This window comes from Homo sapiens, chromosome 11 (assembly GCF_000001405.40).
Source record: "Homo sapiens chromosome 11, GRCh38.p14 Primary Assembly".
Classification (NCBI taxonomy): domain Eukaryota; kingdom Metazoa; phylum Chordata; class Mammalia; order Primates; family Hominidae; genus Homo; species Homo sapiens.
The window spans coordinates 63,831,632-63,855,143 of record NC_000011.10 but is presented as its reverse complement, the minus strand read 5'-3'; the positions used below and the strand labels follow the sequence as shown (position 1 = coordinate 63,855,143).

The following is a 23,512-nucleotide window of genomic DNA, read 5'->3' as shown; positions in this document are numbered from 1 at the left end:
ACACAATGTCAAAAAATCACATTCATTAATTTTACTACCAATCTCGGAAAAGTTTTAGCAGACACAAGTTTTCCAAAATTCTAATTTTCACTTGAAAACTTGAATTTTATCACTGGCAACAATGACAGGCTCACTTTGTTCATTTTCATAAAATGTCCATATGAACAACTCTAGTTTGTCCATCAGTTGTTCTTTCAAGAAAAAATTATGATCCCTGCAGCTGGTTCAGCTCCAACACATGTGCTTTCCTCAAGTTTGGCATACAGCAGCAATGCCTCATGAATACTTTGTATTTCCTCACTTGGAATACCCTTTTTTTTTTTTTTTTTTTGGGATGGTGTCTCGCTGTTGTTGGTCCAGGCTAGAGTGCAATGGTGCGATCTCGGCTCACTGCAATTCTCCTGCCTCAGCCTCCCGAGTAGCTGACATTACAGGCACCCACCACCATGCCCAGCTAATTTTTGTATTTTTAGTAGAGACAGGGTTTCACCATGTTGGACAGGCTGGTCTCGAACTCCTTACCTCAGGTGATCCACTCGCCTTGGCCTCCGAAAGTGTTGGGATTACAGGCGTGAGTCACTATGCCTGGCCTAAAGAGACCTTTATTAAAGGGTTGATAAAATAAAAGACTGGGCATGGTGGCTTATGCCTGTAATCCCAGCACTGTGGGAGGCTGAGGCAGGTGGATCACTTGAGGTCAGGAGTTTGAGACCAGCCTGGCAAACATAGTAAAACCCTGTCTCTACCAAAAAAAAAAAAAAAAAACAAATAGAAAAACTAGCCAGGCGTGGTGGTGCGGACCTGTAGTACCAGCTACTGGGGAGGCTGAGGTGAGAAAATCACTTGAACCCGGGAGGCAGAGGTTGCAGTGGGCGGAGGTTGCACCAATGCACTCCAGCCTAAGTGACACAGTGAGACCTTGTCACACACACACACACACACACACACACACACACAGAATTAATAGTCTTGGCCAGGCATGGTGGCTCATGCCTGTAATCCCAGCACTTTGGGAGGCCGAGGCAGGTGGATCACCTGAGGTCAGGAATTCCAGACCAGCCCGGCCAACGTGGCGAAACCCTGTCTCTACTAAAAATACAAAAATTAGCCAGGCGTGGTGGCAGGTGCCTGTAATCCCAGCAACTTGGGAGGCTGAGGCAGGAGAATCACTTGAACCCAGGAGGCAGAGGTGGCAGTGAGCACAGATCACGCCATTGCACTTCAGCCTAGGAGACAGAGTGAGACTCTGTTTCAAAAAAATAAATAGATAAAAATTAAAATAAATAAATAAATAAATAAGTAAATAAAAAAAATGATAGTCTTTAATCCTTCATTCAAGACATTCTCAAGTAAAAATGGCTTTTATTTTTCAACCACAAGTTTGTGGTGGGAAAGAAGACCATGACAATGACCACTAGTAGAGCTTAGTGCCACTTCCTTGATCCATGTTACGGCGTCAGCAGTTTTCTCCACCACTGCTTCTGCACCAAGGGTGCAAATGGAAATAAAGTTGTTCCAGGATAAGTCATGAGATTCAGGAAGTTATTCAACCCTTTGAATATTTATCACCATTTGTATCTGCTGCTGAGCATTCACATAAAATAAATTATTCTTTGATGAGCAGTTGGTGCTGATACAGCAAGTCGAGCCACATCTATAGATTTGCTCATTTGTAAGGTGAAAGTAAAATTCTGTAAATAAGATATTAACTTGGTCTTCATGTGTGCAGCTACATCTTTTTTTTTTTTTTTAGTTTCGCTCTTGTCGCCCAGGCTGGAGTGCAATGGCACGATCTCGGCTCACTGCAACCTCCATCTCTTGGGTTCAAACGATTCTCCTGCCTCAGCCTCCCGAGTAGCTGGGATTACAGGCATGCGCCACCACGCCTGGCTAATTTTTGTATTTTTAGTAGAGAAGGAGTTTCACCATGTTGGCCAGGCTGGTCTCAAACTCCTGACCTCAGGTGATCCACCTGCCTCGGTCTCCCAAACTGCTGGGATTACAGGCATGAGCCACCGCGCCTGGCTAAATCTTTAATTTAATGAATCCTGGTAACATTTAAAGCGGCACTGCCTTGAATTTTACTGACTTTTCATCCAGTGGGCATTCAGGAATGTCAGCTGTTCAAGACTTCATTCGTCTCTCAGTTTCTGTGTGGGCTTTTCCAGCCAAAGCAATGTGGCAACTTATCCTGTTAGATAGAGGCTTCAGTGACTTTTTTATTTCTAGTTTAAAAACTGGAAGAAATTTTGGCTTTTAAAGAGCTCATAGTACGTACGCATAAAATATGCAATTCCTTTTTCTTTAAACTCTAAATGATCTTGAAAGAATGCCACAACTTAACTGGTACCATAATACTACATGAAAATGTTCTGTCGCATAAGACGCAGTAAGGTACATTATGAACATTTATGAAACTGAGAAGGTAGCTTTCATTACACTTTCATTTCTTTTCTTTTTTTTTTTTTTTAGTTCTTATTTACAGTTCTGCCCAGATTCTTTAAAGTCCTCCTTTATACTTGTTGGTATGTCCACTTCAGTATTTTTAACATACAAGTTGCAGCTATGGGTTGAAAAAGCAAGTCTTCTAATCTCCCTTTTTTAAGCCAACAATCCACCCTTACATATAAGAGAAATAATATAAATTTTTTTCTATTTTAGAATAAAGTGCTAAAATAAGTTGTCAATAAAATTTTTAAAATTAGGAGTTTTCCCAAAAGTTTTTACAAGCAAGTTTTACAAGTAGTACTTACTTCTTATATTTTCTCAAAGGTTCCAGGAAAATGCTGGGATTTCAAAATAAGGATTTATTAGACAGTAATGAAGTGTACAAAAAGATGATAGCAGTTATAACTGAAGAAACCTAGTAAGAGCACAGAAGTACTAAGAACAAACTGAGTCCATCAATGAAAACTTCCATATTTTTACCTTAAAGTACTACCTTAAAAATTATAGAAAACACAAGAATACAGAATTACACATTTCATTAGCCAGAAGAATGTGATGTTACCACACATCATTTAGCCTCTGGAAAATGCCACTGTATACTGGTGAGGGAATGAGAGTGAAAAAGCAACACTGTGTTAACGTTACTATGAACAGAATTTTGACTTCGTGCATCACCTGAAAGAGTCTGAGGGTCTCTAGATCACAATTAGAACCAAATTCAATATTACAGTGTCCAAAATTCTCAAGTATCTCTCCAGATCTCTCCCAAGACAGGGTCTATACTTATGGCATTCCTGATGGGTTAGAGGCAACAGCCTAGAATCAGCTTAAACCCTGTCACCAGGGAAACCAGAATGCTGTCCCTAATAAGTTGCCAAGCCTGGCTTTACTGAGAGAGGTGGCTCCAGAAACAAGAAAAAAAAAAAAAGTTTTCTAAAGCAGTGAATCCTTAAATGTACAGAAATCAGAGGAATGAGAGAACAAAAGGACCAGGTGGTCTGGGATTCTATACCTGAAGGAGATCTCAGACGGAGATCAAAATTCATATCCTGAGCCATGCCATAAACAGGGCACAGAAACAGGTTAGGGAGAGTGGAACAAGGAAATGAAAAACCTAAGATGGACGGGAATGAGGACATGATAATGAAGAAAGGGAGTTCAAAGAAACCAAACAGAAAAAAAGAAAGTGAAACAAGTCAGCAGAGGGGTTCAAAAGGAAGAGGAAAATACAATGAAAGAAATAGCCCCTGATGAGTTATTTTTAAAAAAATTTTTTAGAGATGAGCTCTCACCATGTTGCCCAGGCTGGCCTCAAGCAATCCTCCAGCCTCAAGTGACCCTCCTGCCTCAGCCTCCACTATGCCTGGCATCTCCATGAGTTCTGAGGGGACACTGTTACCTTCCCCCAGCCACAGCTTCAATGTGAAAAAACTAAGCAACTTACCTGCTGCTCTGAGAAGGCATGCAGGCTCCAGAAATGACAAGAGATGAAGATAAACAAGCAACCAACAGAGACCAAAATCTGAGCTCAAGATTCAAAGTCCGCAAATTCCCAGGAGCAGAAATGCCTGTGTCCCTTTGGGTCTCTGAAACGCAGATAACAAGAACCTGCCCTTGAAGGCCACTCTATGAGGGAAAAAGGAACCTACAATCATGGGCTGCTGAGTTCCCACGTGGTCTTTAAGAAAAACTGGGCACGTTCTCCTGTGGCCAAAGGGTCAATACCGTACTTGAAGAAAGGAACATGGCTGAGTGTGTAATCCCAGCACTTGGGGAGGCCAATGCGGGAGGATCACTTGAGGCCAAATATTCAAGACCAGCCTGGGCAACACAGTGAGAACTCATGAGAACAAAAAGAAAGGAAGAAAGAAAAGACGAGAAAAGAAAAAAGAAAGGAACATGATGGTATGAATCCCTGCTCTTGGTGCTGCAGAGAACCACCCTAGGGCTTCCCCTTTGACACACAGATCTCAACTCTCAAAAAACTCAAGCTCTGGTGACTTTGGATTTGGCCTTCTAGCCACGGATGAGGCTGCACATCCACCGCCATCATTTGCAACCCAGAAATATAGGCAGGCAGTGGGTGGTGTTTTTTTTTCTTTAATCAAGAAAACTATCTAATATTGATGCCTTATAAAAAATGAGCTAAAAGTGTTCTCAGAAGTACATGAATCTCTCCAGTAGCATTCCATTTTTTTTCAGATAGGTGATTGGTAAAAAAGCAAACTAGGGCGGGTGCAGTGGCTCACGCCTGTAATCCCAGCACTTTGGGAGGCCGAGGTGGGCAGATCATGAGGTCAGGAGTTCAAGACCAGCCTGGTCAACATGGTGAAACCCCATCTCTACTAAAAATCCAAAAAAAAAAAAAAAAAAAAAAAAATTAGCCAGGTATGGTGGCAGGTGCCTGTAATCCCAGCTACTTGGGAGGCTGAGGCAGGAGAATCGCTTGAACCTGGGAGGTGGAGGTCACAGTGAGCCAAGATGGTGCTACTGCACTCCAGCCTGGGTAACAAGAGCAAGACTCCATCTCAAAAAAACAAACAAACAAACAAAAAAACAGAAATGTTAGAAAAAGCACCTATAGGACCCCAGTGGCTTGAAGATGCCAGAACAAGATTTTTTCAACTGATTACAGAGAAATCCCAAACATCACCCCTTATACTGACCTAGAGTTGTGTGGTGCTCAGATAAAATTCACTGTGTTGTTCAACTGGAACAATAATGACAATGATCATTCTGCTGTGCCAGGCGCTATTCTAAATGCTTTCTATTCATTAACTCTTTTAATACTCATAACAGCTATACCTATAAGATGGGTACTATTCTTCTCCCATTTTACAGATGAGCAAACAGACACAGAGGGAACCTAAGATCACAGGAGAGGATGATCCAGGATTCCAATACAGGAAATCTAGCCGCAAAACCTGCTCTTATTGTTTGTTTGAGACAAAGTCTTGCTTTGTTGCCCAGGCTGGAGTGCAGTGGCATGATCTCTGTTCACTGCAACCTCCACCTCCCAGATTCAAGTGATTCTTGTGCCTCAGCCTTCCGAGTAGCTGGGACTATAGGTGTACAACACCACACCGGGCTAATTTTTGTATTTCCAGTTGAGATAGGGTTTTACCATGTTGGTCAGGCTGGTCTCGAACTCCTGACCTCAGGTGATCCGCCTGCCTTGGCCTCCCAAAGTGCTGGGATTACAGGCATGAGCCACCGCGCCCGGCCCACCAAACCTGCTCTTAACCATAGTGGAACCACTTATTGGAAGTCAAAAAGTGTTCAAAAAGTTTGGACTCTCCTCTCAGCTGTGCCATAAGCTCAACATAATCAGTACACTACGTGAGATGGAGCTGGCCTAAGGAGCCCCACTTCCTGTGACTGGAGAACCAGTAATTCAAACTTTCATGAGCAAAAAGACAAAGCAACAATCTCCGAGTGGCTTCAATACTACTTGCAAAGATAGCCAATGACAGTCTTCTGTGGCGGAGAAGTAGGGAGTGATGGGGTGAGTGAAAAGTCCAGAAGGTTGAGGGGGCCAGGTGTGACCTGTAGTCCCAGTACTCTGGAAGCTAAGGTGGGAGAATCACTTGAGCCTAGGAGCTATTTGAGGCCGCAGTGGGCTATGATCACACCACTGCATACTAGCCTGGGTGACAGGGTGAGACCCTGTCTCTTAAAAACACCAACAAGGTCAGGCGCGGTGGCTCACGCCTGCAATCTCAGCACTTTGGGAAGCCGAGGCGGGCGGATCACGAGGTCAGGAGATCGAGACCATCCTGGCCAACATGGTGAAATCCCATCTCTACTAAAAATACAAAAATTAGCCAGGTGTTACAGCCGGGCACGGTGGCTCACGCCTGTAATCCCAGCACTTTGGGAGGCCGAGGTGGGTGGATCATGAGGTCAGGAGATTGAGACCATCCTGGCTAACATGGTGAAACCTCATCTCTACTTTAAAAAAAAAAAAAGTACAAAAAATTAGCTGGGCATGGTGGTGGGCGCCTGAAGTCCCAGCTACTCGGGAGGCTGAGGCAGGAGAATGGTGTGAACCCGGGAGGCAGAGCTTGCAGTGAGCTGAGATCGCGCCACTGCACTCCAGCCTGGGCGACAGAGCGAGACCCTGTCTCAAAAAAAAAAAAAAAAAAATTAGCCGGGTGTGCTGGCACATGCCTGTAGTACCAGCTACTTGGGAGGCTAAGGCAGAATTGCTTGAACCTGGGAAGCGGAGGTTGCAGTGAGCTGAGATTGTGCCACTGTACTCCAGCCTGGGCAACAGAGCAAGACTCCGTCTCAAAAAAACAAAAAGACACAACAAAAAGAAGGTGGAGAAAAAAGGCAGCCGCACATGGGATATCAGAAACCAAAGCAAAACTCATACTGAAATGGTAATCAGAAGCAATGAGTAGCTCACTGTAGTATCAACAGGGGCAACCAGCCCCCAAGGACAAGGTCTAGGCTGGAGCTCTGTCAGCAGGTAGTTACACTCACTAATTACTAAACGTTCATATTTTGGCATTTCCTGCTTAGCTGGGAGACTGGGAAATAATCCTACCTGGCTGGCCTTGCTCCCTGAGAAAGACTTCCTAGTGCTATTGCAGGAAGTGTCAGCACACATGGTGACCGGAAGCTCCCACCTTTCCTACAGGTTGTTTCCTATGGCTGAAGTCCCTGTAAGCTGCCAAAGAGCAAAAACTATTTTTTCTCTCTTTTCTTTCCCAGCAGGCCTGGACAGACAGTCCCATTGCGTGGACGAAAAAAGGCCTGGGATGTCACTGAATTTAGCAGCCAGATCATAGCAGTAAGGAGTCCTGATCCCCTCCCAGACCCATAAATGAGGAGCCAAAGGCAGACCCAGTCCCTTCCTCCTGGCTAGGCTGAGGGTCTTTCACCAAGTTGTGAATTGGGAAGGGAGTCCAAAAAAGGAGTTAATGTCTTAGAGCTTTCAGTGAAAGGTGTATAAAGCAAAGCTGCCTTCAGGTTCAGCATAGGGTGGAGAGAAAGCCTCCTCCCTGGAGTGAAGGACCAGCTCAGAGACCCATTCAGTGTTTGGGGAGAAGGGGGTTGTTGACAGATAGTTGTCTTCCAAACTTTCGCCTCAACGAACACAGCCCCAAAGGAGGCAGACCTTTGTATTGCCAACTTCCCAAAGAGCACACAAGAAAATAGGCCAAGGCTGCCCAAAACCAGCTTGACTGGTTCTACAGAGAAGCCCCTGGTCTGCTCCGCCTTCCTCATGTTAAAAAGAAAAAGGCCAAAAAGGTGGCTGGGAGCCAGTCACTGAACACAGCCCTCCTCTCTTTCTGCCAGGCACCAGTTGTCCCTCAGGATCACCTAGCCACCAGTATCAGTGTCCATCTCCCCTCCTCTCCTACCAAATCTTCTGTTCATTTAGTTTTATAAGCCTAAAATTAATGATTTGGTGTAAAAAGGAAATGAATTTACTTTTGCCCTTTTTGCCATTTTCTAATGAGAAATGTAAGGAATAACTGCAAGTAGGGGGAAATAAGTGCCAACCCAAAGACAGACATCTGCGGAAAGAACCACCACAGGGACTGACAAACCTTATTTATCTTGAGATGGGGTCTCACTCTGTTGCCCAGGCTGGAATGCAGTGGCATGATCACAGCTCACTGCAGCCTCAACTTCCCAGGCTCAAGTGATCCTCACATCTCAGCCTTCTGAGTAGGTGGGATACACGCATGTGCTACCACACCCAGGTAACTTTTTAAAAATTTTTTTGGGCTGGGCGCGGTGGCTCCCGCCTGTAATCCCAGCACTTTGGGAGGCCGAGGTGGGTGGATCACGAGGTCAGAAGATCGAGACCATCCTGGCTAACAAGGTGAAACCCCGTCTCTACTGAAAATACAAAAAAATTAGCCGGGTGTGGTGGCGGGCACCTGTAGTCCCAGCTACTCGGGAGGCTGAGGCAGGAGAATGGCGTGAATCCGGGAGGCGGACCTTGCAGTGAGCCGAGATCGTGCCACTGCACTCCAGCCTGGGCGACAGGGCAAGACAACGTCTCAAAAAAAAAAAAAAAATTTTTTTTGGCCAGGCGGGGTGACTCATGCCTATAATCCTAGCACTTTGGGAGGCTGAGGCAGATCACGAGGTCATGAGTTCAAGGCCAGCCTGACCAACATGGTGAAACCCCATCTCTACTAAAAATACAAAAATTAGCGGGGTACAGTGGCGTACACCTGTAATCTCAGCTATTCAAGAGGCTGAGACAGGAGAATCACTTGAATCCGGGAGGCGGAGGTTGCAGTGAGCTGAGATCGCACCACTGCACTCCAGCCTGGGCAACAGAGCAAGACTCCGTCTCAAAAAAAAAATTTTTTTTTTGTAGAAATGAGGTCTCACTATGTTGCTCAGGCTGGTCTTGAACTCCTGGGCTCAAGTGATCCTCCTGCCGTGGCCTCCCGAAGTGCTGGGATTACAGATATGAGCCACCACACCTAGCTTGAGAAACTTGAAACATTCCAGACAAAAACAGATATGAAGATAAAGGGATCTAGCCTATTTATACTTATCAGAGGAGGAGATGTCTAGAGGGCAAGAGGAGGAACTGGGATGCCTCCTCCTCTGAGACACAACTGGAAATCAAGAGGCCAGATTCTCTCTGGGTGCTGTTTAGAATCAGCTGTACTATCTCAGTCTAAAAGATAAGCAATGATGCCGGGCGCGGTGGCTCACTCCTGTAATCCCAGTACTTTGAGAGGCCACGGCAGGCGGATCACTTGAGTCCAGGAGTTCAAGACCAGCCTGGCCAACATGGTGAAACCCTATCTCTACTAAAAATACAAAAAGTGGCCAGGCATGGAGGTGCGCACCTGTAATCCTGGTTATTTGGAAGACTGAGGCATGAGAATCGCTTGAACCCAGTAGGTGGAGGTTGCAGTGAGCTGAGATCCTGCCACTGCACTCCAGCCTGGGTGACCAGAGCAAGACTGTCTCAAAAAAAAAGACGAGCAATGACCTTCAATGGCCTATAACAAAAAGGAAGGGGGCGGGTGGCAGTAACATTCTGCTCAGGAGTTAGCACTTTCAGGGTTAACCTGGGGATAGCCTGGCTCTCCAGCAGTGGGAAGAGGGTGACTTCCTCCCCCACAGGTTTGTAAAGGCTTACTCTTCCCTTTGCAGAGACAGAAGGGAGAAAATGCATAGACAACACTTCAGTGACTCACTCATGTTTGATGAAAGCTGGGAGGAGGCCTGGAGAATCCAAGCTACAAGCACAAAACGTACAAATACTGGAATCTCCCATCAAGAGAAGGAAATTTAGCCACCTATCTGGTTTGTCATTTTGCTGAACTTCCACTGAAGGAGGAAGGGCCAGCTTTAAACTCCACCCACCCTTTCCACATCCTTCTCAATTTTTGCTTTGATGGGAAAGTGGGGAAACTGGCGGCCCCACCATGGCTAAAAGAGAATCAAATCCTTTCTATACTTCCTCTCAAAGCAGAGGCCTAGTAGCTCCAGTCCACAGCTTAACCAAGCAGAGGGAATAGGGGCTTGTCCTGGTTACTGTAGGAAAGCCTCATCAGGCAGTCTCAGGGAAGGAAGATGACCACCCTCCTCACCCTTTCCATCTGCTGAGGTTACTTCATTCCAATCCATTAATGGGCTTCAAAGTGCTGCTGGGGGGAGTCCATTTAGCAGAGAAGCTATCACGGGGCCAAAGGTGGCGCCCACCCCCTACCCCATTTGTCGATAATGGGCCACAAAGTCTGAGGCTTGGCTGCACTCTAGACATAAAATATTCATTCAAGTCGACATAATACATAAGTAGGAACCTCATGGAAGCTCCTGGGAGAAGAGAAATGCCAGCCAGGTGGCTAAGTGCTCAATGGGAAAGAGTTCATGAAGGCCTGGGTTAGTCCTGATCAAATGCCCACTGAGAATTGGGTTGTTCTGTCCAAAGGGGAAACAATCTAGTCTGAGAAGTTCTGACTCCCAAAAGCTCGAACCCTGCAAACCTCTTAGGCAAGCAAAGTCTCAATCTTTTCCTACCTCATAGGCACCAACTCTGCTTAGGACATTTATGCTGAGAAAAATCTCCAGCCCAAACTTTGGTTGGTCTGAAAGATTAAGTTATCCTTGTGCAAACTTTATTTTAATCTGCAGCAGGCCGAGTTTCAACAACTGTCTTATATCCATCTGTTTAGCTACTTTCCGAAGTCCATAAATTGGAGAAAAGTAATTTTTTTTTTCTGAGATAGTGTCTTGCTCTGTCACCCAGGCTGAAGTGCAGTGGCACAAACACAGCTCAATGCAGTCTCGACCTCCCCAGCTCAAGCCATCCTCCTGCCTCAGCCTTCTGTGTAGCTGCAACCACAGGCATGTGCCACCATGCCCAGCTAAATTTAAAAAAATTTTTTTGTAGAGATGGAGTCTCACTTTATTGATCAGGCTGGTCTTGAACTCCTGGCCTCAAGCAATCCTCCTGCCTTGGCTTCCCAAAGTGCTAGGACTACAGGCATGAGCCATGGTGCCTGACCAGAGAGAAATTATTCTAATTTACTAGGTACAGTTACTTTTCAGATTCAAAGGTTACGAACTCCAAGGACTCCCAAAGCCCTTGCTCTAACAACACTTCCTTCCTGATCTCTAGGGCCAAGCCGAAAGTGACACTATTTGGTCTGACATTCACCCACATTCCTGACCAGAAGGCAGCACCACCAAGGACCCCCTGGCCAGAATCAAAGGACAGAGTGAGAATTAGCACCAGGGCACACTGCTGCACAGCTCAGAGTGTGGACTGAGATGCTAGCTAGCCGATCCAATCTACCTAAGTTACACCAAAAGCAAAAAAAAAATATTTATCCAGCAGATCACCTGAGGTCAGGAGATCGAGACCAGCTTGGCCAATATGGCAAAACCCCGTCTCTACTAAAAATACAAAAATTAGCCAGCATGGTGGTGGGCGCCTGTAGTCCCAGCTACTCCCAGGAGGCTGAGGCAGGAGAATCGCTTGACCCGGGAGGCGGAGGTTGCAGTGAGCCGAGATCGCATCGCTACACTCCAGCCTGGGCGACAGAGCAAGACTCTGTGTCAAAAAAAAAAAGAGTTTTATATATATATATATTTTTATCCAGAATCAACAATGGGGGTCCAGTGAGAGTGTTTGGAGTAGTTCAGCTGTTCCTTATAGGATCTTGTAACTTTGTTTTCTTCACCAGTACTTCTAAACTCCCCTTCCTAGAACTGAGAGAATAAACAATGCCGCTCACTGCCTAGAAGCCTGACAGCAGCCCCCTCCCTTCCCACTGCAGCAGAAGTGGGGCAAGTTTTCTCTCAATCCCTCTCTCATAGTTTCTGAGGCCCAGAGGTGGGGCAGGTCCCAGATGGAGTAGCCTCTCCCCCAGGTGTTATGGAAAACTCTAGCAGGTGAACTCTGGAAGCTGGACCTTTCTCCAGGCTTGCCTGTGACTGCTGCTGCTGGCTGGAAGACAAACAGTCATCTTGCTGATTGCTTTCACAACTGCCAAGCTTCAGGCCAGCAGAGTCATTTGGAAAAGAAGTGAACAAAAAGCTCAGCTCACAAACTAAGAATCCCCCAAGCTACGAGCCCCAGATTAGAACCCTCCTTCTGCAAAAGCAGGAAGTCTATGGCTGTGAAAAAGCACATCTGGAATCAGGTGTCACAAAAACCATCTTAAAGACAGGGCTTAACTTTTTTTTTTTTTTAATCTCCTACTTTCACTGTTATAAGCGAAGTGGACAGCACACAGGCAATCTCCCTGTAACGCAAGGTTTATTTTTATGCTTCAACATTTTCAGTGTCTGTGTGTTTCAGAGTGATTAAAGGGCTCCTGGAAACAGGTTCTCATCAGCCACATTTTTAAAGAAGAGGGAGAGGAAGAGCAAGAAAAGAGACTGGAGACAACCAGTGGTGTTTGTTTACCTATTTTCTGGTAAAACCAGTTTTAAATTTAAATAAGGTGACAGAGGACCTTTAGGGGAGGAAATCAGCCCAACTAAATCCCCTTTTTAAAAAAAATAACATTAAGACTATAGTAATGACCAAGCTTCCATGACTACTTTATCTAAAATCACAACAGGACCAAGAAGAGGTTTCTTTCACTTGGTGGCATGATCTATTCTCGGAGGCCAGTGTTTGATATACCTGGCCTTGTGACCTGAGGAGCTGCTGCTTGTCTTTTTTCCCGTTTTAAAGAATACAGGAATCAGGCCCGGCGCAGTGGCTCACACCTGTAATCCCAGCACTTTGGGAGGCCGGATCACGAGGACAGGAGACTGAGACCATCCTGGACAACATGGTGAAACGCTGTCTCTACTAAAATCCAAAAAATTAGCCGGGCGTGGCGGTGTGTGCCTGTAGTCCCAGCTACTCAGGAGGCTGAGGCAGGGGAATCGCTTGAACCCAGGAGGCGGAGATTGCAGTGAGCCAAGATTGTGCCACTGCACTCCAGCCTGGCGACAGAACGAGACTCTATCTCAAAAAAAAAAAAAAAAAAGAATACAGGAATCTGTCTGGAATAGGTGCATCCAAGGTTTTCCAAAGTCCCTGCTTTTACTGGAATGAGACTTAATATTAAATCGATACAGTGACTGGCTACCCTGAGAACAACAGTAGAAGGTATGAAGGGGCTAAGGAGAATCTAAGTCCATAAAGAGTAGAAATAGGATGGGTAATTAATAATCCTAACAGGATGACAATGTATGCAGCTACTGCTCTGGGCAAAGTTATCAAAGAGCAAAGAGCTTACTTACATTCCCAAATGGTCACTGATTGCTGCTATCATGGAATCAGTGGATGCACACTACGGTGGAATTCCTACTATATGCTCAGCAGTATGCTAGGCATGTAAGGAAGAAAGGAAATCAACACACACATCACAGGAAAAATACCATGGCAATAATACATTTACATGTAGTAAGCAGCACAAAGAAACCACACTGAGGCAGTCTGTTACTCTGCTCTGCTGAACACAATGCCCCCCACCAGCCTCACTGAGAGTAGGCACTCCATCGCCACTCCCCAAATGCCTGAGGGTGCCAGTCAGTCACTTGGCCTCCTCCTACCAGCTCACGATCAACAGTCTGGGAAAGTTCTCTGGTTAAGCAGGGTTTACCTGCTAAAACAAAGGTTGTGAGAGGAAAATGGGTGGAATAAGCAACCTCAAGAGGGCCCAGAGAAAGCAATTCCCAGTAAGGAGAGAGAAACAGCCGGTAGGCAAGGGAGAGAAAGACTGCGAGACACAGAACATGCTCCTCTGTCTCCAAAGACCCCTGTCCCATGCAGAACCAGCTGCCAAACCCAGTGATGAAATGGAAATCAACCATCCCTCCCTCTCAACCCCTATTTCACCCCCAGAAGCAAATAATCCACAAGTAATAAAAGGGTCAACCCTGCAGAGAAAAACTCTGCCTAGAACTTCTCTTTAGTTCCTAACTGCCCAGGTGACAGAGGGCCAGGGGGTAACAAAATAGAAAAACACAGTAAAAGAAAGGAGGTAAGATTTTTCAAAGAAGAATGTTCACATGCAAGAGAATACAACAACTGCTCTACCGGGCTACAAAGAAAGAAGGGAGTAAGAGGGAAACATAAAGGATGGAAGGAGGGGAAAGAAGGCAAAAAGCACAGCAGCCCCGGGGCAGAAGCACTTCTTTTTCAAGTCAAGTTTTTTTGGCCTAGTAAAGTTCTCCACCAAGAAAGGTATGACAGGCAGGGGACTCTGCACAGAGCAGTCAGCAAAGGACGCTAGAGATGGTGAAAGAAAGGGGAGGTGTGGAAAGTGGACGTCTCTGGGATCAAAAGTGAGATGACACAGAAAGGCTAAGACTTGGGTGAAAAACATAGCAGTGACTGCCAGGATGAGGGGGACCGTGTAGAGTCGTGAGGCTGAGGTGTAGCTCAAGAAACTAGCATGCAAAACACCTGGACTTCCTGGGCATTACAGAGACTTAGCCAATAGGAACAGAATGGATCCAAGCACGGTGTGGGGATACACAGGACATGAAGAAGGCAGGAGACTAATGCGGAGATGAAAGGCAACGCTGATTAAAAGGCACAGTAAGGAAGATGGGGTGAGGGTGGAGAAACAGGAAGGCAACAAGCAAGAAAGAAAATACTCTAAGTGCCAGGCACGGGAGTGAAGACACAGAAAGTCATCATGGTTTGTGTTCCAGCGTACGAAGACAGAAAGGCAAAAACTGTGATGCAGCGAGGTCTGGGAAAGGACTGAGCAACAGGTTGTGTTAATACGGTGGGGCCAAGTGTCTTTGGGTTGGGAGAAAGAGCCCAGTAGAAGGCTGGTAGAACACTCACAGAGAGAAACAAGAGGCCCAGGGACCTAAAAGCCAAACCCGAGGGGAAGAGAACAAGAGGGATCCAAAGACTCTGAAGGGAGTGATGATTGGAACCCCAAACGCAACCTGTGGGAAAACTATGCGCATGACAGCTGTGGGGAAACACGGAAGCGACAAATGCCAGCGCCAGGATCCAGGGAGCTCCTGGAGCAAAGAAGGGAAAGTGATGAGCAAAGAGTAGGCGAAGGATTTGGAAAGGTGATGAGGGTGGAGCTGGTGGGTTGCAAGCAAGAGGGAGAGCACAATTTGGAAAACGAAGAAGCAGGGTAGAAAAAGCTGGGGGAACTGCAAGGGGCCAGGGATCGAGAGCGCAGTCCAGGGCAAGGACCCTGAGGGTGATAACCCAGAGACTGGCAGAACCGGTGCGGGCGGAGGGGAAGCGAGGCAGGAGAGACGAAGGGAGAGGTGGACAACGATCTGTGGCAAATCGCGGGGTGCTGCTATTCGAGGAGCGGGAGGGTGGCTGCTTTAAGCGTGGGTGGAGGAAGACCAGAAAGGCCCCTGAGAGAAAAAGGGAAGAGAAAGGGAAGCTGGGGAGGTGACACGGAAGAGCGCAGGAGGGCGGTGAGGGGAGACGGGGGTTGGCAGAAAGACAAGTGTGCAGCTTGGAGTCAGGACGAGGTGGGTCCCAGGTCAGGACTCGGAAGCGGGATGTGCGGAGCCGGAGCCAGGAGCCGGATGACAGGGCAGCCGAGGCTTGCAGGATGGCAGCAGGGGCACGAGGAGAGCAGAAGAGGGAGGAGGCTCCGCAAGGTGCAAAGGGCCCAGCCAGAGAATTCGGGGAGCCCTCGGGGCTCCTTACCTGCTCCGTGTCCCTCTCGTTCAGCGTGGGTAGGGGGGTCCGAGCGCTGGACATGGCGCCGGTATCTCGGGGGAGGGAACCGAGAAGCTTGGAGGAAGGGAGGGAAGGGAAGGCGCGGAGCCCGGCCGGGCGGGGCTTCTCACAGCAGGAGCACCCGCCGCATGGGCCCCGGCCGGGGGTGCGGGGAGGCCGGGCAGCCGCTCACGCCAGCCCGGGGATGCGCCGCTCGGGCTAGGCCGCGCCGGCTCCGAGCGGCTCCGGACCGCACCCCCCCGACCCCCGGCTGGGCTGTGCCGCCTTTCGGCCGGGCCGCGCCGCTCCGCCTACTCTCTGCCGCCGCAGCCGGCCGCCTGCCTCGCTCCTCCCCTGCCCTCAGCGGCACTGCTCCGCGCCCGGCACACAGGCAGCCGCCGCCGGACCTGCTGCTCCCAACATGGCCGCCACCACCGCCGGCCCTCGGCTCTTTTCGCCGGCAGCAGCCGGAAACATCCGAAGCGGCTAGAAACGGGAGGTGGGGCGCGCCTTCTCCTCCCGGCCACAGACTACGGGTGAATTCCGGAAACAGCCGAAGAAGGTAAACCCCGGGGACGCGCTCTCCTCCTCGATTCCGAAGACGAAGCTTCGGCTCTGTTTACGGAAATCCACGAAGCGACCCCGGGTGCCTACCCCCCGCCCCCGTCCACGGCCATCCAGCCACGCCCACCGGCCTTTCCCCGCCCACTTCAAGGGGGCTTTCGGCAGTTTCCGGAAATACCCGAAGCTGCTCCGCGTGCTGAGCCGGCCACGCCCCCTCCCACAGCCCTGCCGAGGGCGGTCGTCGGCCATTTCCGGCAACACCCGAGGCCCTCCGAGCACCCGGTCGTTTCCCCGGGTGGCTCTCGGAGTCTGATTCGCTTCGTGTCTTTCCGTCAGTTTTCGGGCATTTTCAAACCTTGAACAGGAAGCGTGGGTCACCTGTCTGTGCTTGTGATTTGACTAAATACAAAACAAGATTGTTAGCCGTCCCTGTGATTGGCATCCTCTGGTTCTATAGCAGCTTCCTGTCTGCATTTCTGTCCATCTGTCGGTCAGCTCATAAAATTCATCTTCTTTTTATCATCTAGCCTATCAATATACCTGTCAAATGCAGCATCAGTCTATTGCCTGTCTGCCACCGTCTATCTTGGCTTCTGTGGATTCATCCGTGCATTCCCGCATCTAGTCCGCAGGGCTCGGCAAGGCCCCAGGCAGGCCCAGGGCAGCGTCCTCTGCACCGGATGCGGGAGCGTCCAGGGCCCTGCATTTCAGCCCCAGCTCTGCCAAGTGCCAATGCTGCGTGATCTTGGAAAAATCACATAACATCACTGAGTTTAGGCTCCTCTTTCCTTTGCCTTTGCTCCTGCGTTGACATTCAAAATGACATTTCTGAATTCCAGTTACCTTTTAAAATGCCTCTGCAAGATAAGGCATTTAAAGTTTCTTTTCTTTCCTCCTCTGGGCCTCATTTTCCCCATCAGTAAAGTGAAGCCATTGGATTCATGAACTCGGAGGTCCTTCTCAGCTTTGGAGAGCCCTTGACTAACAGGAAGTCTGTATGGCAACTGCAGTCCATTCCTCACTTCCCCTTACACTGCGTTACCAAGGACAGGGAGTATCCTGGGCTGATTTCCCCAGCGCCAAGCTGTCCTCACCCATAGTACCTGGAACACGTTGGAACCACACCCTCCCATCAGTGGCTTAAGGTGGGCAGGAGGCAGAGGCCCCGCAGGAGTCAGAAACCAGACTCAGGCAACAGGTTCCCAAAGGTACAGGAGCAGAGAGGCTCCAGGAGTTATTGGGAAAACTGCTGATTGGACCCCTGCTACTTGACCTCCAACTCCCAGCTACAGCATCTTGAGCCAGCCTTCATCCCATCAATCAGAGAAATAGGCATCTGAGCAGATGTAATTACCAGGGTATGAAAGTACTTCCTAAGGCAACAGGTATCACTACACTCTTAGTAAATCCTGGGACTTCAGCACTGCTCCCCATGCCCCATACCAGCTCTATTCAGGCACCCAACCGTTGAGGAAGAAGGTGAAGGCACACCCATGAAGGTGAGGGAAAGAGAGAAGAGGAGGACAGAGAACACCTCACTCCCCAACCCAAATTCGATCCTTGAGAATCATCTGCCCTCTGGTGGCCAAAGGGAGACACGTTGCTGATTCCTGTGCCTGGTATCACCTCTAATGCCAGGGTCTGGAAAGCAGGGAAAAGAGAGAGGAAGCAGTTGGTGGTTGGTGTTCCAGCAGTCTCTCCCTGGTCCACACTCTCGTCTAAATAGACTCCATCTTCTCCAAGCTTCTCACTCTAGCTCTAACCCCTGCCTCACCCCTGCCCTTTGACCTTCATCCCCAACCCCTACCCTACCTATCCTTTCTCTTCCTTGCTAGCTTTGCACAAGGCTGCTGAGCTTGTCTCCCCGCCTAGACTCCCTCCAACCTACTGCACCAGACATGTCAGAATAATCTTCCCAAAGTCCAGCTCCAATAACATCTCTGCTCTGCTAGAAAGCTATCACCAGCTCCCTCACTGGTTATAGGCAGGGCTGGCTTCTTGGGCCCACGACCCCATGCAGTCACACAGAGCCCTGTGCTCAGGTGGACCCTGAGCTTGGATTAATGCTCTGCTGTCACCATCTTGAAATTTTTTTTTTTAAGACTGAATCTCGCTCTATCTCCCAGGCTGGAGTGCAGTGGTGCGATCTCAGCTCACTGCAACCTCCACCTCCCAGGTTCAAGTGATTCTCATGCCTCAGCCTCCTGAATAGCTGGGATTATAGGTGCCCACCACCACACCCGGCTAATTTTTTGTGTTTTTAGTAAAGACAGGGTTTCACCATGTTGGCCAGTTTGGTCTAGAACTCCCAACCTCAAGTGATCCACCTGCCTCGGCCTCCCAAAGTGCTGGGATTACAGGCGTGAGCCACCACGCCCGGCCCATTATCTTGAAATTTTTGACCAAGGGGGCCATGCATTTCCATTTTGCACTGTGCCCCACAAATTATGTAGCTGGTCCTGGCTGTAGGAAAAGCCTTTAGCCTGCATTTAAAACTTTGCTCAATCTGGCCTCACATTGCCTTACAATAACCTCTCCAACTATCACTGATCACACTTCTCCCTAACTCCTACCCCGCTGCCAGTCTCTCTCACTTCCATGCCTTTGGTCAAGCTGATAGATGATTGCCCATCATCCACCTCAGCTTCCAGAACCACTTCAAGATCCAGTTCAAATCTCACCTACTCAAATCCATGAACCCTCCTAGTTCTCCTCAAAGATGAATTATTGCCACACATTTACCCCCTCTCTAAATCTGCAAATTCATTTATTCATTCAGCAAATCCCTACTGAGCACCTACTATGTGCAAGGCATTGTTTTAGGCTTTTAGGTAGATCAGTGAACAAGATAAAGATCTCTGCCTGCCAGGCGCGGTGGCTCATGCCTGTAATCCCAGCACTTTGGGAGACCAAGGTGAGGGGATCATGTGAGGTCAGGAGTTCGAGACCAGCCTGGCCAACATGGTGGAACCCCGTCTCTACTAAAAAAAGCACACAAAAAATTAGCCAGGCACGGTGGTGGGCGTCTGTAATCCCAGCTACTTGGGAGGTGGAGTCGGGAGAATCGCTTGAAACCAGGAGGCAGAGGTTGCAGTGAGCCGAGATCACCACGCCACTGCACTCCAGCTTGGGCAACAAGAGAGAAACTCTGTCTCAAAACAAAACAAAACAAAACAAAAAAAAAACAACTCTGCCCTTGGGGAGCTTACTTTTCATTTTGAGGAAGACATACAACAAACAAAAGAGTCAGTATTAAGTGATATCAGAAAAAAACAGAGCCAGTTAAGCCAGGATTACAGGGGTGAGAGGGTGGAAGACAAGCTACAGTACTGAGGGGGTTCATGAGCCCTCACTGAGAAGGTGACACTTGAGTAAAATCTTGAAGGAGACCGGGCGTGGTGACTCACACCTGTAATCGCAGCACTTTGGGAGGCTAAGAAAAAAAAAAGACTTGAAGGAGGTGAAGGCATGAGCTCTGCAGACATCTAGGGGAAGAGGAACCCAGCCAGAGGAGCATACCTGGCCTGTTTGAAGAGCAAGGGGCCAATGAGCCTGGAGCAGAGTGAGTGAGGAGGTAGGTGTGTGGCGACGGGAACCAGGCCTGGTGGGCTACCGTTGTGGTTTTCCCTGGGAGTGGGATGAGTTGCCGCCGGAGTAACATGATCTAACTGGCTGCTGGGCTGAGAACAGAGTGAAAGGGCATGACAGAAGCAGACCCGGGGCACTAGCAAGGAGGCTTTTACAACAATTCAAGGGAGAGATGCCAGTGGCTTGGGGCCAGGCAGCAGCAGTGGAAGTAGTGAGAAGTGATCAGATTTGGGACATATTTGAAAGGTACAGCCAACAGGCTTTCGGATGGGTTGGGGTTATGAAAGAGGGGAGTTAAAGACGATTGCAGGCTTTCCCGCCTGAACAACTGAAAACAAAACACACACAGAGAGTAAAACTGCCGGGAGGTGTTGGCATTCAGCGGGCCCTTCGGGGCGACAGACTTTCCATCCTAGAACCATGACCTGATTTGTCCACCACCTCGCCAGAGAAGGCCCTGGTACTGGTGAACGCTGCTGTGACTCAGTTGAAGCCTTGATTGGCCACATTTCAGTACTACGCCGAGGTGGAGTTGGTTCCTCCAAACCCTGCTGAGATCCCTAGAGTTATTCAGGGCCTGGAAAAAAAAGTCAATAGCGCTCAAACTGGTAGCTTCAAACAGCTCACAGTCAAGGAAGCTGTGTTGAATGTTTCAGAGGTCACTGGGGTGTGGATGTGGTTTTATGTCACAGAGATCATAGGTGAGTGTGGCATCACTGGCTACAATGTTTGAAGATCCATCTTTAACATTTGATTTATATTTGATTTATGATTTGACTGTTCTTAGACCATATGTGATCAGACTACTATCTGAATAAAATGTGTCAAAAATTTTAAATTTAAAAACATTTCAAATTTTAAATTTATTTATTTACGTATTTATATATTTATTTTTTTGAGATGGAGTCTCCCTCTGTCTCCAGGCTGGAGTGCAGTGGTGCAATCTTAGCTCACTGCAACCTCCACCTCCAGGATTCAAGAGATTCTTCTGCCTCAGCCTCCTGAGTAGCTGGGACCACAGGCGTGCGCCACCACGCCTGGCCAATTTTTGTATTTTTAGTAGAGACGGGGTTTAATCATATTGGCCAGGCTGGTCTCAAACTCCTGACCTCATGATCTGCCCACCTCGGCCTCCCAAAGTGCTGGGATTACAGGCGTGAGCCATGGCACCTAGCCCTTTTCTTAAAAAAATTAAGGCCTGACCCGGCATGGTGACTCATGCCTATAATCTCTGCACTTTGAGAGGCTGAGGTGGGTGAATGAATTGCTTGAGCTAAAGAGTTCGAGAGCAGTCTGGGCAACATGGCAAACCCCCGTCTCTACAAAAAATACAAAAAATTTGCCAGTAGTCCCAGGTACTCAGGAGGCTGAGGTAGGAGGATTATACCTGAGCCTGGGAGGTCGAGGCTGCAGTGAGCTATGATCACACCACTGCACTCCAGCCTGGGCAACAGAGTGAGACCCTGTCTCTAAATATTAATAAATAAATAAAATAAAAGCCAGGTGTGATGGCTCACGCCTGTAATCCCAGCACTTTGGGAGGCCAAATTTGGTGGGGGGCATCCCTTGAGTCCAGGAGTTTGAGACCAGCCTGGGCAACATAGGGAGACCCCTGTTAGCTAGGCATGGTGGCACAACTGTAGTCCCAGCTACTTGGGAGGCTGAGGTGGGAGGATCACTTGAACCCAGGAGGTTGAGGTTGCAGTGAGCTATGATTGCACTACTGCACTCTAGCCTGGGCAACAGAGTAAGACCCCCTTTTCCCTTTTGTTTCTTTTTTCTTATTTTCTTTTTCCTTTTCTTTTCTTTTTAGATGGAGTCTTGCTCTTTCGCCCAGGCTGGAGTGCAGTGGCACCATCTCCACTCACTGCAACCTCTGCCTCTTGGGTTCAGGTGATTCTCCTGCCTCAGCCTCCCAAGCTGGCATTACAGGCGCCTGCCACCATGCCCAGCTAAGTTTTGTATTTTTAGTAGAGATGGGGTTTCACCATGTTGGCCAGGCTGGTCTTGAACTCCTGACCTCAGGTGATCCGCCTCCCCTTGGCCTCCCAAGATGCTGGGATTACAGGCGTGAGCCACCATGCCTGGCCAGAGCTGTTCCTTTACTAGCTCTGGAATGGCAGGCAAGTCACTGCATTCATCTCACTGTACCTCAGTTTCCTCACCTGTATAATGGGCACAATATGAGGTGATCTGTGATGAAGCCAGGGTAGGTGTCCTGTCTGTACCCCATAGTTTCTAACAGTGCCTGCCCATGGGGTCCTTCACTGATGCTTGTGTGATCTAAGCAACACAGGGTGGTTACCCCATCTCCCATCACACACCTGCTTTTCCTGCTTCCTCTGCCCACCCCCACCAGATGTGGGGCTGGAGGAGATCCAAGCCATTGACATTGGTGTTGGGAACCCAAAGGCTGGCTCCTCTTCCTTCCTGGACGCTGGTACATTTGTCCTGAGAATGAGGGTGTTCTCTCTAGGGGAGAAAGGGACTGAGCAAATTTGGTGGCATGATGGCTCTGGGCTGAGGCACCTGGCTCCAGGGAGGTAGGAAGGCAGACACCCCAGGAGGTGTTGCAGTCCCTTCCCTGTCCCTGCACCTGCAAGCAGCCTCAGTAGGGTGCCCCCCTCCCAAGAGACTCCGATGGCAGAGAGGGTCTGCAAGCCCATTAGAGACCCTCTCCCATCCCAGCCCCCATCTTCTACCACACCTTAGGGGTGTGCAGGATTTTACAGTTTACAAAGGGCCCCAAATGCAGAGTCTCATTTGAGCCACACAGCAGCCCAGCTGTGTGTGGGGTGGAGGTGGGGGTGACTGCCGCATTTTCTGCAGAGAAACAGGAAGCTCAGATTGCAGGAGCATCTGCTAGAAAGCCTCAAGGCCTGGACCAGACCAGTGCCACCACTGGGGTGCGGCAGGGGCCCAGCCAGTGTCCCCCATTCCCATTCACACTCCCACATGCTCCAGTTTCTCTTCAAGGAGGGCAGGGGTGACTGTTCCCTTGTCTCAGACTGGCTTTGTCCCCAAGAAAGAGAGGATTACCAGCATTGTGATATAAAAAGACATATATATCGGCCAGGCTTGGTGGCTCACACTTGTAATCCCAGCACTTTGGGAGGCCGAGGCGGGTGGATCACCTGAGGTCAGGAATTCAAGACCAGCCTTGGCAACACAGTGAAACCCCATCTCTACTAAAAATACAAAAAATTAGCTGGGCATGGTGGTGGCAAGCACCTGTAATCCCAGCTACTTGGGAGGCTGAGGCGGGAGAATTGCTTGAACCCTGGAGGTGGAGGTTGCAGTGAGCCGAGATTGTGCCACTGCAATCCAGCCTGGGCCTCAAGAGCGAGACCCTGTCTCAAAAAAAAAAAAAAAAAAAAAAAAAAAAAAAAGACACCTGGGCGCAGGTGGCTCACGCCTGTAATCCCAGAACTATGGGAGGCCGAGGCAGGAGTTATCACGAGGTCAGGAGTTCGAGACCAGTCTGGCCAAGAGAACAGCCTGGCCAATATGGTGAAACCCCCCCACCCCCGTCTCTACTAAAAATACAAAAATTAGCTGGGCGTGGTGGTAGGTGCCTGTAATCCCAGCTACTCAGGAAGCTGAAGCAGGAGAATCACTGGAACCCAGGAGGTGGAGCTTGCAGTGAGCCAAAGATCATGCCATTGCACTCCAGCGTGGGCGACAGAGCAAGATTACGACTCAAAAAGAAAAAAAAGAGACATATATATCTGGTCTTCATCCGGGTTTCTGGTCCAGAACTAAAAC

General features: G+C 48.6%; 1 protein-coding gene and 1 pseudogene across 4 annotated transcripts in view, besides 4 other annotated features; one reads left to right on the top strand and one right to left on the bottom strand.

Annotated features, from left to right (window-relative positions):
• MARK2 (microtubule affinity regulating kinase 2) overlaps window positions 1-16,034 on the bottom strand; it is a 71,911-nt gene extending 55,877 nt beyond the window's left edge. For all 4 annotated transcript variants that reach the window (NM_001039469.3, NM_001163296.2, NM_004954.5 and 1 more), the window contains exon 1: window positions 15,584-16,034. In NM_001039469.3, the coding sequence (NP_001034558.2) occupies window positions 15,584-15,637 (54 nt within the window). In that variant the 5' untranslated portion in view covers window positions 15,638-16,034. The remainder of the gene's footprint in view (window positions 1-15,583) is intronic.
• Window positions 15,700-15,939: a silencer, noted in NCBI's record as "silent region_3447". NCBI's record gives its function as "represses an Ori minimal core promoter by ATAC-STARR-seq in GM12878 lymphoblastoid cells {active_cell/tissue: GM12878}" and the evidence as "EXISTENCE:reporter gene assay evidence [ECO:0000049][PMID:35858748]".
• Window positions 15,950-16,099: an enhancer, noted in NCBI's record as "active region_4875". NCBI's record gives its function as "activates an Ori minimal core promoter by ATAC-STARR-seq in GM12878 lymphoblastoid cells {active_cell/tissue: GM12878}" and the evidence as "EXISTENCE:reporter gene assay evidence [ECO:0000049][PMID:35858748]".
• Window positions 16,360-17,348: an enhancer, noted in NCBI's record as "H3K27ac-H3K4me1 hESC enhancer chr11:63605268-63606256 (GRCh37/hg19 assembly coordinates)". NCBI's record gives its function as "activates a minimal SCP1, AML or CMV promoter by ChIP-STARR-seq in primed H9 embryonic stem cells {active_cell/tissue: H9 hESC(primed)}" and the evidence as "EXISTENCE:reporter gene assay evidence [ECO:0000049][PMID:30033119]".
• On the top strand, window positions 20,100-20,552 carry ATP5MGP1 (ATP synthase membrane subunit g pseudogene 1; annotated as a pseudogene).
• Window positions 21,978-22,797: an enhancer, noted in NCBI's record as "H3K27ac-H3K4me1 hESC enhancer chr11:63599819-63600638 (GRCh37/hg19 assembly coordinates)". NCBI's record gives its function as "activates a minimal SCP1, AML or CMV promoter by ChIP-STARR-seq in primed H9 embryonic stem cells {active_cell/tissue: H9 hESC(primed)}" and the evidence as "EXISTENCE:reporter gene assay evidence [ECO:0000049][PMID:30033119]".